Here is a 15,877-nt window from a genome sequence, read left to right as displayed (position 1 = left end):
AGGTTTTGGGGACTCAAATATAAACATCTTTGGGGATATCATTAATCTGCCTACCATAGTGATATATTTAAGTATATAGATTGGTAAAAGAATCTAGATTGCTAAGGGTCTTTCCAATGTTTATATTCTATAAATAAGGCAAAGAATTTAACTATCTATTAACAACTGATAAAAAGTTTATTTGGATTAAGAAACTGACCATAAAAATAAACAGATTCTCTTCACTCCTAAGAGTATTACTTTCTTTCTGTATGTCTACCCTAGATGACTAAATATTTTAGATAAAATTTATTATTTAGAAGAAGACCAAGCTTCTCTTACATACTGTGGTCCCATCCTAACTGGCCTGAGAAGGGACAATTGCTAACAAAACCTTGCTGAAAAGTATGTGACTGATAAACTCAGGCAATTGGAGATTCTTAACAATTATGATACAACCACACTGTGGCTTTTCCAGGATGTTGCTATCTCAAAGGCTGCAGTGGTCGTTGGTCAGGGAATTATTGTCTCTCTTTCAAAAAAAAGAAAAAGATTACAAAACACTATTTTTCCTTCTTCTTATGTACCTCCTATAAACTCCTAAATAGGAAAGAAATGATCAAGTTCCTAACTTGTAATTCATTTATCAGAAGCTGTTAAATATGCCACCAATGAAAAAATACGGCTTAACTAACTCATGTACAAATTACACCAATTTATATATACCAGTCTTCAGTTTCTTGTGGCCTTCAGCAAAAGATGTTCTGAAATGCTACATAGAATAAAGCACTCTGCAATTTGGATTGATAAGTGACACTAAATTATACCTAAAGCAATTGACCAAATGATCTTGGTAGATCTTAAAGTGATAAAAATTGCCATGAAAACAGTGACCACTTAATCCATCAGTAGAATAGTCTGCATTCTAAAAAATTATAACTGGGGAAAAAATTCTCTATGGAAAAATCTTCTTTGTGGACCTACCACCAGGACAAAAGGGAACATATTTATACTAATTAAATTTCCATTGAAATCTATTTATTTTCTATTGAAATCATTAAATTAACTAAGACAAGGATAATTATCCCAATTGGAGTTTGATAAAACTTGTTGGAAGTTTTCCCCCACTACAACATCAGGTGTATATACGCATGCACACATATCAACACACACAATCTGAGTAATAATCACTGTTAATGTTTACTGAACACTCAATGAATGTCAAGCACTAGGCTCAAAACACCATATTAGGAACCATTGTTTCCCACTGTGAAGAAGTTAAAACTGAAGTTAAGAGAAGTTATAAAATTACTAGTCAATGGCAAAACTAGAATTCGAAAATAGGAGGTTTAACTCCAGGGCCTTCATTTTTGATCCTCATGTAATATTGTCCCTCTATCAGTGGCCAGAAGTAATACCCAAAGAGAGAAATACATTTAGGTATAATATATCATAGAAACTGAACACATAAAAATCAGTATTTGTAAGTTTTGTTTGTTTGTTTTCTGAGACAGAGTCTCACTCTGCCACCCAGGCTGGAGTGCAGTGGTGCTATCTCGGCTCATGGCAACTTCTGCCTCCCAGTTTCAAGCGATTCTCCGGCCTCAGCCTCCTGAGTAGCTGGAATTACAGGCTCGTGCCACCATGCCGAGCTAACTTTTTGTATTTTTAGTAGAGATGGGTTTTGCCATCTTGCCCAGGTTGATCTCAAACTCCTGAGCCCAGGCAATCTGCCCACCTGGGCCTCCCAAAGTGCTAGGATTAAAGGCGTGAGCCACTGCGCCTAGCCAAATATTTGTGAGTTAATGTTCTTAATGCCTAAATATGTACTTAAGATTTCCTTAAATTTCACTAATTTCAATATAAATATATAGCTAAACTGTAGAGCTAGCCCCAATTTTCTGGAGGCTTCTTGCAGTGAAATTGCAGAAGAGGTATTCACAGTAATTCATTAAGTTTAAGTGGTTTTTAAATCATAAGCTAAACATTGAAGTCAATGACTAGGTGGAAATTTCCAATATTCCTCATACCAGCTACACTATTGTCAAATGTATCAGTGGGAATGTCCTGAATGATGAAGAATCTAATAATATATTGTTCATCATTCATTTTTATTCACACCTCCGTTCATTCATTCTACAGATATTTATTGAGTAAAATAAGGCAGAATATTTGCAGACATAAGGATGACAGCAGACTTACCCCAAGGATTTCAATGGATGTGATGGCAATTGATGGATGTAATGGCAGGCTATAAGAGATGCACTTGACCTGTGAAAGGAAATGCAGGACTGAACTCCTTAGTTAAGTCTGTAAGAATATACAAGATATGGCCCAACAAATGAAGGGTAAAAAATTTTTGGGGTAGAGGGAACAGCGTCTGCAATGGCAGAAACATCTGCGAACATGTCATAGTCAAGAACTCTTCAGTATAAGTGGACAATAGTAGAATCATGTGGACGGATACACAGTGAAAGCTGAAAATGTAGGTGAAGGCTGGATCATGCACCTACACTTAAAATATTATTCAAGGATTTTGAACGTTTTTAGAGAATGTGAATGCAAGTAATATGGCCACCTCCATGCCTCTTCCTTTCATATCAGATGAAGCAAATGAATAGGACAAGTCTAATTTAAGGCATGCCTCTATCCTCCCTGTCATTTAAAAAAAGAGGCCCCATGGCCATTTTTGTTTGGAATATGGCATTTATTTCATTCACAAAAAGAAAATGCATATAGCCTTTGCTTGCCAAGGAAGACGTTAGAGAACATAATTATTCACAGCAAAATAAAGAACTGGAAGGGACATATGTGAGTGGAAAGAGGGGAAGCTGACTGTATTTGTCTGGTGCTGAGAAGTACACAGGACAAGTGAAGTGCTGAGTAATAGCTGTGGGAAGAAGGGCAGGGGAAGAACACTGGTAGGTGGGTTCTGAATGGAGATATGGGGAAAGCTGTAAATTCTGAACTAAAGATGAAAGTTACGTGTGGATGGTGAACAGGGGAGAAACTTGTAAGGTTGGGTGAAAGAGCGCACAGAATAGAGTAGTTCTTACCATTTGCGAGGGCTAGTATCTCTGGAGTTAGAAGTATATGCCAACATTTATGTGTGAACCAAAAAAAGATGCTGAAAAACTTGATAATTATGTGAATGAAATGAATAAGGACTGATGGCAAGAAGAATAGAGAGGAAGAAGATTGTTTAAGAAAAGAAAAAACTGGCAATATCCATTTCAAAATAAGCTATATTCTGCCTCTTACACCCACACAAAAGTGAAATAAAATTTGCCAAAAGGAAATTGCCAATTGTCAAAGAAAAAAAGAAAACTGGCAGTCCTAATTATACTTGCTAGAAATGAACAAACTGAATAATCTCTATGAATCATTCTCATTGCTGTCCAGTACAAAATCCTGAGTAGCATCCTTAATTTGGACATTCAATATTTTATTATTGATTTACAACCCAACTTGTTTTCACAACAGATCTAAGTCATGTGAAAGAAACTTTGTACATTAAAACAGCAAAATATAAATGTAAAAATAACGAGAGTCATTGGAAATAGAATCAGAGCTGGACTAGGAACAGGAGATGAGCAGAGAAGGGTATATCATGTTGCTTTTAAGGCCAACATCAATTCCTATCCCTTTGCTAAGCCACAGATTTGTCTCTTCCTCCCAGCCAAAGAAGAAAAGAAAATGATTCAACTATATGGTTATCCTTTTCTGTGAAGAGAAAAATATATTATCAGTTCTTCAGAAGTATATGTTTAGAATTTAGATATCAAATTTGAACAAAATAAGAGATTAGTTGAATACATGTTATCTGAGTGTCATCTCAGGAAAATTAATATCATTAGCGAATATTTTAAAAAGCAAATCAAAACCCCCTTTTATGTTTTATTTATTTATTTTTGAGACAAGGTTTCCCTTTGTTGCCTGGGGGCTGCAGTGAAGTGGCCTTATTATGGTTCACTGCAGCCTCCAGCTCCTGGGCTCAAGCTGTCCTCCTTCCTCAGCCTTCCAAGTGGCTACGACTATAGGTATGAGCCACTGAGCCCAGCTGATTTTTTTCTTTTATAGAAATGTGGTCTTGCTTTGTTGCCCAACCTGGTCTAGAACACCTGGCTTCAAGCTCTGGCTTCAAGGGATCCTCACACCTCAGCCTCCCAAAGTGCTGGGATTACAGGTCCTGCTCCAATTTAAACACCATAATACTCTTTTGTGTTTTTTTATCTTCAATTAAGTTTAGAGTGTCTTAGCTACAACTGAAAATGCTGTCTAAGGTAGAAAGTAATTTATTTTTCCAGAATTTCCTTCCAAGTTTAGTACTTCCAAAACAAGAGAGACTACGTAACTTGGAAATTGGTATATCACTATTATCACTATAACTACACTTTTTCTTGAAAACATATCAAATATTTAATTTCTCTCTCCAGATCTTATTCTCTAAGTAAACCTGATTTGTGAAATCAATCTACAAAAGGCTTTTTCAGCTGTCATTTTATAAGGGCTACTTGAATTTTTATGAAAAACTACATTTGTTATAACCCAAAGGCATTTTCAAGCAAAGTAGCATTTTTATTTCAATTTTTATTCAAATTATTTTATACAAAATATGTTCATATATACCAAAGAATTATGACAATGTGTATCTTGAAAAAATCAACTTCACACTGAAAGGCACTTGATAGTTATTTGAGATATATATTATTGTTCTTGCTGTCTGCTTCCAACACAGCCTAAAACCAACTGGCATTTCAAGCTCTGTTATTACTTAACACATAAAAATACGTATTTTAGTGCATACACTTTATACAGCAAAAATTTCACAGTTACAACTAACATTATGTTTTCTTTTAAGTCACAAATAGTTAAGTTCTATGTTAAATGTCATGCACATTTAGCCTACCCATGATACCAAAATGTTTCATTTTTATTTTAGTTCCAAATTATGGAGCAGAAACCTAAAACAGAGAGTTCATTTTAGTCATATATCTAAAAGAAACTAATCAAGGTATATGAGCCCTCTAATTTCAATTATGAAATAAATGTAGTGTAATCTAATAAAAGCCAAAATTATAGCGCTCAAATACCTATTTAAGTCTTCTTAATATGGAAACTTTCTGAAGTCAAATAAACACAAATTTGTTTAGGTTCTGGAAGGTACCAACTAGCATAGGTGCTAACTAAAAAGTTATTGAAATCAGTTAGGGGAAAGAAGAAATGGCTGTAAAGGCAATTACAAGAAAGGAGGTTGCTTTATATGATACTTGACATAAAAAAGAGAACATGTATTATAAGAATTGTAACTAAGTCGTCTTTATTGAAAACGTCTGAAAATTCCAACATGAAAGGTAGTATTATGCATTCATGAATTCAAGAAGAGGATGCAGGTGACTTCTCTACAGGAGGGCATGTCTTCATAATTATATTTTGCACTTGAAAAGTGCATCACTTTAAGAGCAATTTTGAAAGTCTTTAATGTGTATTTATTAGGCATAATGAAAATATACACAGTCAGATATTATAGGCATTAGAAAAAAAGGACAAGGGTTTAACTGCACTCATTTCCTCATTTAAGAAGTTCTCTGGATGGATGGATGTATCTTCAAGGTAGTTCATCTCTTCTAGAACTTCTTTCATTTATAGATATACATTTGTAATTTATCAAGAGAATTCTGTAGCAGATTGTTGGTCCATTTAAAATGCTTGTTTGTTTATATTCCACATCCTCCTATTAGCCAATTTAATCAGCTATACAACTTAAGATAAGATAACATAAAACATTCAGCGACCCTGATTTTTCACTTTGATGACAATCCCCAAAATTTCCTTTATACCCAATGCATTAAGACAATAGGCATTCCCAGAAAAAGATATTCCAGGATGTCTAACTATGGTGCTCCCAGGAATAAGCACTTCTTAAGAAATATAACCTTATCTAAACTTCAAAAGAGTAATAATAAGCTAAATATGTACCACAGATAAAATATATATCTACCATTATTATTAACATGTAATCAATAGGTATCCCGAATGATAGTCTCACTATTAACGGCACTACATTCGAATATAAACTTGAGATGCTATTTCAGATCACATAACTAAAAGTCAAGTCAAATATATTTTTCTTATTACATAGAAGCTATTTGTTTTATTGAATTCAAACATGGTGATAGAACTTAGAAGTTCATGAACACTGAATTAATCTATAGACTATGTTCTCAATGAATAGCTTAATTACTGATTAAGTTATTAAATTTAATTATTAAATTGAGCAGCCAACTTTTCAGAGCAGCCCATGTGGACTGGCTTGCTGGGTCCCCTAAGTGCTCCCAATTATTAAAACAAAGTTTTACCATTAATATATTTGATGGTAGAAGACTATATAACATAATATATAAAAAACTTCTTTGGCTTGAGCACAGATAGCAATGTGTATCTATCTATCTATCTATCTATCTATTTTTCTGTCTATAATGTATATATGTGTATCTCATAATGATTTTTAAAGTCATCATGTAGTCATATTATTTTAGAGTTTAGATAGAGTCGGGGATAGGTATAAATTGTGGTAGAATTTAGAAAATGCACAGTTTCTAAAAATAGAGACTTTTATCATTAAGCACCATAAAATCCTCTCTCATTTTTCTTTTTTTTTTTTACTTTCTTTAATATGTCCCTGGATTTAAAGTAGTATAAACTATCTCTACTCAATTATTCCCATTTTAATTAGGTTTAAAAAGCAGTATGCTATTTTTTCACACACAGTCTCTAAAAAGAAGAAAGATGCAATAGATAAAAGACATTACCATGTTTTCACTTTGAAGATAGAAGCTGAATTTCACTCTGGGATTTTCAGTTTACTGATCTGCAAAAACTGTTTGGGGGTAAAATGCTTTATTTCTCAAATAACTCATTAAGAATTTATTACAACAATTCCATATAATGATTCAACATGTTTTCTAAATTAAATCCTTTGAAATAAATATAATCATTCTTTTTTACTTTTAGCTTAAAATTGCATGTTTGGATTTTACAGACATGTGATTTGAACATAAATGTACACAACTACTTTACCTATATAATTGAAGAATTATGTCTATAGGAAAGTGAAATGTTTTATCCATAATATCCAGATATCAGATATCCATAATATCAGAACTACAAAAGAAGAAATCCTTATTATGTCAAAAAGGGATTGTAGCTTTCTCCTTTCTGTAGCAGAGGTAGAAAGTAGTCTTAACCAATAATTGTTTTATTGAATATTAAGACCATGTTCTACATGCAAACAGTTCTAATAAAACAGAAAAATGTGGAGCAAAAGTAATAGGAGAGACACTTGGATAAAAAGGGCAAAGACCAAAGTTGAAGTATTGGAAATCTTAGTGAAAGTTAGTTAAGTCAACTAAGAATATCTCTATACTAAATAAACTGAGTTTCAGTGAGTGGAAATAATTAAAGTCATTGATGTAAAGGTCAATTTTAGGTCATTCCTGGCACTAAATTTGAAAAAAAAAAAAAGTCAGAGTAGCTATGTTTTTTTAAGGAAATAGATGAATGTATTTTATGGATCTCTGAGTTTAACATTTATACTAAAGGAAAAAAATCAATAAAGTTATGTCAACCTGAAAATAACTGGGGAATGTGTATTGCTGAATTAAAAAAAGATCTATAACCACAGTTTACAGTTTCATATTTTGCAATTAATTAGTAAGGAAGGCAAACACACATTTATCTAGATTAGGAAAGTTTTCAAGTGTGTAAGGGTCTAAGGTCCAGAAGGTAGTGATCCACTTCACCTTAGGGAGAAAGGCTAAGTGTTATGTAATGGGAAGAGGACCTCAACTTGTTGGAAGACTCATCTCAACCACCTGCCAATGATAGAGAATGAATAAACACAAATTTTCATACAGTGCCCAGCTCACATGAGAAACTATTCAAATATTGAAAAAGCCATGCAAATTCCATAATAAAATGTAAAAGAAGACCAAGTAAATCAAATAGTGTTGAGAAAGTACATATATCATTTAATTTAGATATTTTTAAATGATGCATATGTAATTTAAGTACATCCAAATGTGTAAATAAATATTGGAGAGAACCTTCCAGTGAGTCAAAGTGTAGATCCTAGATAACAAAGTAAATTAATTTGTACTTTAGTAAAAACCAGCCCAGCAGTGAATAAAAATAGTGCCCTGAGGGTGGGGAGTACCTGGTGAACCCTGGTCAACCAGCACAGCCATGTGGTCAATGGGCTGTCTTCTCCCATCCACATTCACACATCCAGTCTCTATAGTGTCAGTCAGGCTCTTGGGAGATGACTGACCAAAGTGGGAGAGAAAGGACACTTTTTGACCATGTAACAGAAATTCTTCTGCAAGCCCTACAGATTTGGGAAGATGAACACCATAGTCTAACCAACTTGAATAGAACTAAACCGTGTAAGATTATGAAGCAATTCTCCCTTTATACTGAGAAGTCTTAAGGCACAAACAGTACAATGCCCTACCCAATTTAGTTTTCCATAACCAAAAGGAGGGCAAGGGAGACAGGCACGGAGATTACCAAAGCGTTGAAAAATAATACCTGTGAGAAAGGCAGAACATTGTATGTTTTCTAGATGAAATAGACTTAAAGAAGAATTTAAAGGATTTAAGTTGGCTGTAAGAAAGATTCTCCTGGCACTGTGAGTTGTTAAACATTAAAGTGGTTTGCTGAGACTGCAGGAACTCCAATTCTGAGAATCTTTAGAAATGGGAAAGATTCAGACCTGCTACTTAGAGGGACTGAATGTGGGCTTTATTAAACTAGAACTCTGCAAGTGCCTGCTAACCCTGTGAGTTTAATTGTTAAGTACTTATACAAACAGTATTTTCCATCTAACAGTTCTGACTCAGTACTGTATACAGTTGTTGGGGGGAGCAGTTGCAACAACCCACTTTTTATAGTACATAAAAGCATGTGAAGGAATAGTTTGTCATGAGGAATCCTAGTGATATCTCTGGGCACCTGTACTTTCTGATCTTAGATTTCTCATGTAAATTACATATAGCATTTATTAATAATCAAAGGCTTTTATAATATGTTGCAGTTTTGAATAATTCATGCTAAAGAAGCATTAAACCATGATGGAAAATATCAAACATAAAAAAATTAAAGTTGGGCAATTTCAGTTTTCCCTCTTGATATCATACAGACTTAAATACTGTTTTTTATATGAAACCTCAAAAGTTGGTCTTTAAGTTTGGATACTTAGTCACTAGTAGTCCAAAACTAATATATATATATATTTATTATATATATATTTATTATATATATATTTATTATATATATATATAAATTACACACACATACACATTCACACACATTTTCTTGAAACATATTTGGAGCCTTAAAACATAATAGCATGTACCAAGAAATGAATTAATAATGTATTTAACTCATATAATCTGGATGAAATTATTTTATAAAAAGAATGTGAATAAACTGAATAGTAACTAAATTGAATAGTTTACTAAGTTAAAAAGCAATCACGTTAATTGCATGTTAATATATTTGTATATTATACAATAAATTATCCAACTCAGATTTCCATAAAGAATTCTCTTACTTCCCCTTAAAGAATGTGCATAGTTGAGCATTAGATATAATCAAGTTTTCACTACCTATAACTTTCCTTTTGCCAATGATTTGAGGGAAAATCTTTGAGTTTTTCTCACAAAGTAACAGTAGCATTATTAAACTAATCTCAACTGATGACTTTACAAAAGCACATTATAACGTGCCACTCAAACTTTCTACACTGCTCAAATCAGCAGATTCGTAAGTTGACATAGCACAGAGGAGCTACCTTCTGAGCCCTGCAGTTGACTGCATTCAGTAAGTATTTACATCCGTAGCACTATAGATCCTACTGACTGAATTGAAAATACACATGTAAATACACACCCCTCTCTGTGTCACAGTCTGTCAATAAATTGTATAAACGGACACGATGTATCTCCATACCTATGGATAAGGTATACGTTTTAGATGTCCACCACCTACTCATTGTATCAGGATACTATCTCTCAATATCTTTTTGTTTGTGTTGAGTTGGAACGTTTGTGTATGTATGTGTGTGCGCGCGCACATTACCGGAGAGGGAGATCCGTTCTTGCACAGGGGTCCCCTGAAGACTCCTTTAATGCCCCGGTAGTGCCCATTGCTGAGATGTCTCGAACTGATGACCAGGTAACAAGCCATGTGGGTCCGGGCGGAGGCGCAGAGTCTCAACTCCTCACCAGGCGACCAGCCGTGGAAAGCGGGCGGGTTTCTCAGCGGCAACAGCGACTACCACCTCCCGAGAAGACGCGGCCAGCAGGACGCAGGGGGAGGCGGTGGCAGCGCGTCCCTGCTCCGCGCCCCGTGCGGGGCTCCTGCTGCCGACAGCTGCTGCTCTGACAGAGGCGGCGGCGGCGACAGCACAGAGCACGGAGGGGACCCGGCGAGCCAGTCCACATGCTGCTCTGACGAGGTGGCTGCTCAACCGCGGGCCAGCGATATATTTATTTAAGGACAACTTCCAGGGTCCACCAGGGAATCAGGAATTCCCCCGCCCCTTTCCTCCCGCCCCCTGCCTTCGCGCCTGGCGCCTGCCCGGGGGATGCTCAGGCGCGGGTACCCATCGTCCGGCCGGGGGCGTCCTGGGCTGCTGGCTGCAGTGTGAAGATCCAGCAGCAGCCGCCGCCACCGCCGCTGCTTTGTGGGGAGAGTGGCGGGGAGTCCTTGGGAGCGCCAAAGCGCTGCCCCCGCTGCAGTCGGGAGAGGGCGGAGGAGGAGACGGGCGGGCCGGGGTGAGGACAGGGAGTTGGGGACGCGGCGACCTGTGCTTGAGGAGGGCAGTTAGCGCCTCTGCTGGGAGCTGTGGGCTCGGGGCTGCCCAGGAGGCTCAGGTGTGCTGTGGGGCGAGGCCAGGAGGTGACAGCTGCCGCTGCAGCCGCGGGGGGCTCTCGGGGCTGCAGGACCCGCCTCTCCCACCTCCCGGCCTCAGCCGCCCAGCCCCCCGGTTCTTCTGCCCTATCTCTGAGCCAACTTTCTACTGTTTGGGAGTCACCTGGGAGGACTGGGGAGGCTGTGGTGGAGGAGATGGGCAGGAGGAGGGCGTTTTCTTTACTCTTTCGTTGCCTGCTGGCCTTCAGCTTTTCTTCAGCGCTCTGGCTGACGGCGGCGTTGGCAGAAGCAACAGCTCCCCAGCCGGTTGCAAGAATGAGCTGTGCAGCCACAAATAGGGCAGACAGATTAGATGCGCCGTGGTAGGGAACGCACGGACGAGGAAAGTTTTGGGCAGAAAACTTATATAAGGTATAGAAACGAGACATGCATACGTATATGTGCATATACATGCACGTACCCAGAGTTATGAAGATTCACTTACAAGCCTTTCTGTATCTTAGCGAGGCACATATTTTTGGTCTCTATAAGACCTCTGTGCTTTCAAAACCCCCAATAATCACCCCTCTCAGAAGTGGTTTTTAACGGACCTTATTTCGTTTACCGTAATTTAAGCCACCAGGGAGCGAGCTGCACTGAGAATAAAAAGACCTGGGCAGAAATGTGCTCTGAAAGGAGAAGATAGCCCTCCCAGGGTTTGGAGACACCCTGCACTCTCCTCCACCCCGCGGTTGCTTAATGCGGTTCTGCAATCCATCTCTGCCTCACCTCGCCTTGTCTGTGCCTGGGAGAAGGTAAAGGTTCACCTCCTCTCAGTCTGTTGCTTCAGCGCTGGAATTGAAAGGCTACCGCCAATGCGCTAATTCTCCCCAGTATTGTCCTCTCCTGTCTCCCACAATGCCCCATTCGCATCCCGGTTGACATTGACACAAAAGCAGAAACAGGTTAAAAGGAAAAAAAAACTGTTAATTTAATTTTTCCTATTCAGGCAACTCATAAAATTCTTAAGCAAAAAAGGAACAAAAAAGAATCTAATTATAACTTTTGTAACTACCCAATAAAAGCTTGACTTTTTGTTTACATCATTACAATGGCTTAATATCCTTAATATTTTATTTAAAAAATACATAGATGTACTTCTCATTTTAAAGGTTTTATATAGTCTTTTAAAGTGTTTGCAAAGCTTCTGAGTATATAAGGGAAAAATGCCAATTCCTTGCAAACCTTCAGAATAAAAATTACTGAAACTGGGATAGTGCAATGTAAATCTCAGGAATTGTTTATTTTAAATAAATTGTTGGTAAGAACTTTTGAAATAAAAATAAATTTATAGAGCAGTGGCAGCAGATGCAACAGATCCATCTTCTCCTTTCTATTGATGTATTTAACACCACAACAATGGCATGTTTAACAACGTAGTGTTTGTTCAACTTACAGCTGTAAAGTGTTTCCTGAAGCTGAGAACAAGTAATATTACTAGTGTATAGACATTAGATGTATTTTATACAAAGAAAACAATGTATTTGCAAATAGTAAAACTTCAAAAATAGGTGAAATATTGACCAAAAAATGAATAAAGTGGAATTTTTGAAGAAGATAGTGTGGCTCAGTTGATAGTTACTATTTCACTCTGGATAAATAAATGTAGGTAGCAAACAGCATTGAGGACCAACGCATAAGCAACTTAGAATGGATTAGAAAGATGAATGATGTCATTTCTGTAAATAACAGCCCAAGGGTACTATGTCTTCTTCATTGAGCAAATATACTTCCTAATACTGCTTAATTATTTTTACGAATCAGCCATATTTTTATAAAATGGAAGGATGGATAAGAGTAATCAAAATATAAAATTCAAACACACTATTCTGTTTTATATCTTATTCAAAGTACTTGTTAGCTATCCTGACATTCTTGTTCATTAGACCATTATCCTGTGTCTATTTGAGTTTTTCCCAGAGGAAACAAAATAATCTACTTTTTATAGTAATGTTTCAAAGACTACTGTAATTTTGCTGAATTTCTTAAAAATTTTTAAATTTCGAAATACTTTTCCTTTAGAAATGGATAATACAGAATTTGTTCATTTGCCATATTTTAAGCATTAGATTGTCCTTTTCTTTCTAATTTTTGCCATTCATCTTAAAATATTGAGGCAAAAAATTGGCACAATTGTCACATTTATCTAGTTTTAAGAATAATTCTAAAAACAAACAGAAAATGAAAGCAACTCCCTTCTTTTCCTTGCCAGATTGTGACTGATATCTATCAGTGTGGTGTCGTCATATTTCACAGCTCCCCAGTTTTGCTAGCATATATTTTAGATGTGGCTCACCAAATGTAAATAAAAGAAAGATGTGTATATTTATTTACATAGTTGCTAAAGATATCAAGTTGCTCAGTTGTATTAACTTTTCTCTCTACTAAAAGAGATACTTTCTTTCCAACTCCAGTAATTAAAAATTTTCAGTGAAAAGTGAAAGAAAATTGGAAATATGTCTATGCCAAATGAGTTTTAGATACGAGTAAAATTCTATTACAGCAAACATTATGAAAAGCAAATATCATGTGCAATTTCACAAGGTCCATTTATTTAAAACAATATTTTATCTGATGAGTCCTCATTCCATGGAAGAGGATGTGAATGGCAAAGGGCATGGACTTCAGCCTGCAACCAAGTTGATATTTCCATATATTTCCAGATTCATAGCTGTGTCATAGATGATTGACACAGTGAGAAGTCCTCTCTTCTATTACCTTTATCAACATATCTTAAATACACCCCACACCTCTATATCCCCTGCCTCCACCTTAGTCCAAACCAGTATTATCTTCTGCTTGGGCCATTGCAATATCTGCCTAACCAGTCTTCCTGCCTCCAGTGTTGCCCCCATACACAATTTATTCTTTATATCCAAAGGCCATAGTGATATTTATTTTAATATATTATATCCTAGTACATCGCTATTTAGCCATCCAATGATTTCATATCACACTCAGAATAAAATCCAAACTATACTCTGTTTTAAAAGTCCTGTTCTATCAAGTCCCTGTCTGCCTCCTTCTTCTGCCTTCCCCTGGGAAATCCCTGTGCTCCTCACAGTGTTCCTCAGGCACATGCAGCTTTTCACTGCAGAGTCCCTTTTCCAGCTCTCTTTTTACTAGAAATCCTCCTATCTGCATGTCACAAGGGAAACATATTCTTGTCCTTCAGGTCAGATATAAAGGTTGTCTCTTCAGAGAGGCCCTTCCTTCTGACCAGTGAAGCTAATGGAGCTACTTAGAACCTGGAACTTTTTTTTGTTGTTGTTAAATAAATTAATAGACTTTATTTTTTAGAGCAGTTTTAGGTTTGCAGAAAAATTGAACAGAAAGTACAGAGAGATCCTATATCCCCTTACTGCTCCAGCAGACAGGTTTTTCTATTATTAACATCTTGCATTTATGTAGTACATTGTTACAATTGAAGACCCAATGTTGATATAATATTATGAACAAAAGTTCATGGTTTACATTAGAGTTCACTCTTTGTCTACAGGTTTTGACAAATGTATAACAACACGTATTAACCATTACAGTATCATACAGAATAGTTTCACAGCACTAATATTCCCTGTGCTCCATCTGTTCATCCTTCCCTGTCTCCCTCTGAATCCTTGGCAACCACTGATCTTTCTACTCTTTCCTTAATTTTACCTGTTCAAGAATGTTGTGTAGGTGGAATCATACAATAGTTAGCTCTGTCACACTGGCCTCTTTGATTCAGCAACAGACATTTAAGTTTCTTCCGTATCTTTTTAGTGGCTTGACTATCTCCTTAATTTTTGTTAATGAATAATATTCCACTATGTTAGGGGTTGAATTCTGCACCCCCCACCTAAAATGGCAAAGTCCTTATCACCTGTGAATGCTACCTTATTTGGAAATATGGTTTTTGCAGATGATCAAGTTGAAGTGATGTCATTGGGGTGGACCCTAATCCAAAATGACTCTTGTCATTATCCAAAAAAAAAAAAAAAAAAAGGTTTGGGAAGGATTTGAATGCAGAGACAGAGGCACAAGGAGAATGTCATGCGAAGATTGTAGTCCTTATGCCATGAGCCAATGCCATGAACCAAAGAATGCCAGAAGATTGCTAGCAAACCATCAGATGTTAGGAAAGAGACAAGGAACAAATTATCCTTCAGAAGAACCAACCCTGCCAATACCTTGATTTCAGACTTCTAGCCTCCAGAATTGTGTTACAATTAATTTCTGTTGTTTAAGGCACCCAATTTGTGATACTTTGTTACAGCATCCCTAAGAAACTAATGCACCACAGTTTATCTATTTACCTACTGATTAATATTTTGGTCACTTTGAAGTTATGGCAATTATGAATAGAGCTGCTATAAAACATTCATATGCTAGTTTTTGTGTGGACATAAGTTTTCAACTTATTTGGCTAAATGCTAAGAAATACAATTGCTGAATCTTAGGTTTAGTTTTGTAAAATATTGCCAAATTGTCTCCCAATGTGACTGTGCCATATTTCAATCCCACCAATAGTGGATGAGAGTTCCTTTTGTTCCATGTGCTCATCAACATTTATTGTTGTCAGTGTTTTGGATTTTGACAATTTAAATGGATATGTAATAGCATTGCACTGTTGTTTTAATTCACAATTTCCTAATGACTTATGATGTTGAACATCTCAATATGCTTATTTGCCATCTATATATCTTTTTTGCTGAATTATCTGTTCATGTCATTTGCCCATTTTTAATTAAGTTGTTTGTTTCACTGTTGCTAACTTTTAAGAGTTCTTATATTTTAGATACCAATCCTTTATCAGATATGTTTTGCAATTATTTTCTCCACGTCCATGGTTGATCTTTTCATTCTTTCAACTGTGTCTTTTGCAGAGCAGATATTTTTAATTTGAGTTCAACTTACCAATTTTCTCTTTCCTGAATCATGTTTT

At 36.3% G+C, this 15,877-nt stretch overlaps 1 protein-coding gene across 1 annotated transcript in view, besides 1 other annotated feature; it reads right to left on the bottom strand.

Annotated features, from left to right (window-relative positions):
- Window positions 1-10,504, bottom strand: part of ZNF804B (zinc finger protein 804B) — a 578,829-nt gene extending 568,325 nt beyond the window's left edge. Inside the window, exon 1 of the mRNA NM_181646.5 lies at window positions 10,120-10,504. Coding sequence (NP_857597.1) covers window positions 10,120-10,227 — 108 coding nt within the window. The 5' untranslated portion in view covers window positions 10,228-10,504. The remainder of the gene's footprint in view (window positions 1-10,119) is intronic.
- Window positions 9,814-10,358: an enhancer, noted in NCBI's record as "H3K4me1 hESC enhancer chr7:88389160-88389704 (GRCh37/hg19 assembly coordinates)". NCBI's record gives its function as "activates a minimal SCP1, AML or CMV promoter by ChIP-STARR-seq in naive H9 embryonic stem cells {active_cell/tissue: H9 hESC(naive)}" and the evidence as "EXISTENCE:reporter gene assay evidence [ECO:0000049][PMID:30033119]".
- Window positions 10,505-15,877: the final 5,373 nt, after the last annotated feature.

The sequence above is a fragment of the Homo sapiens genome, chromosome 7 (assembly GCF_000001405.40).
Source record: "Homo sapiens chromosome 7, GRCh38.p14 Primary Assembly".
NCBI lineage: Eukaryota > Metazoa > Chordata > Mammalia > Primates > Hominidae > Homo > Homo sapiens.
Note: the sequence above shows the minus strand (reverse complement) of the source record. Positions and strands in the feature narration are given on the sequence as shown.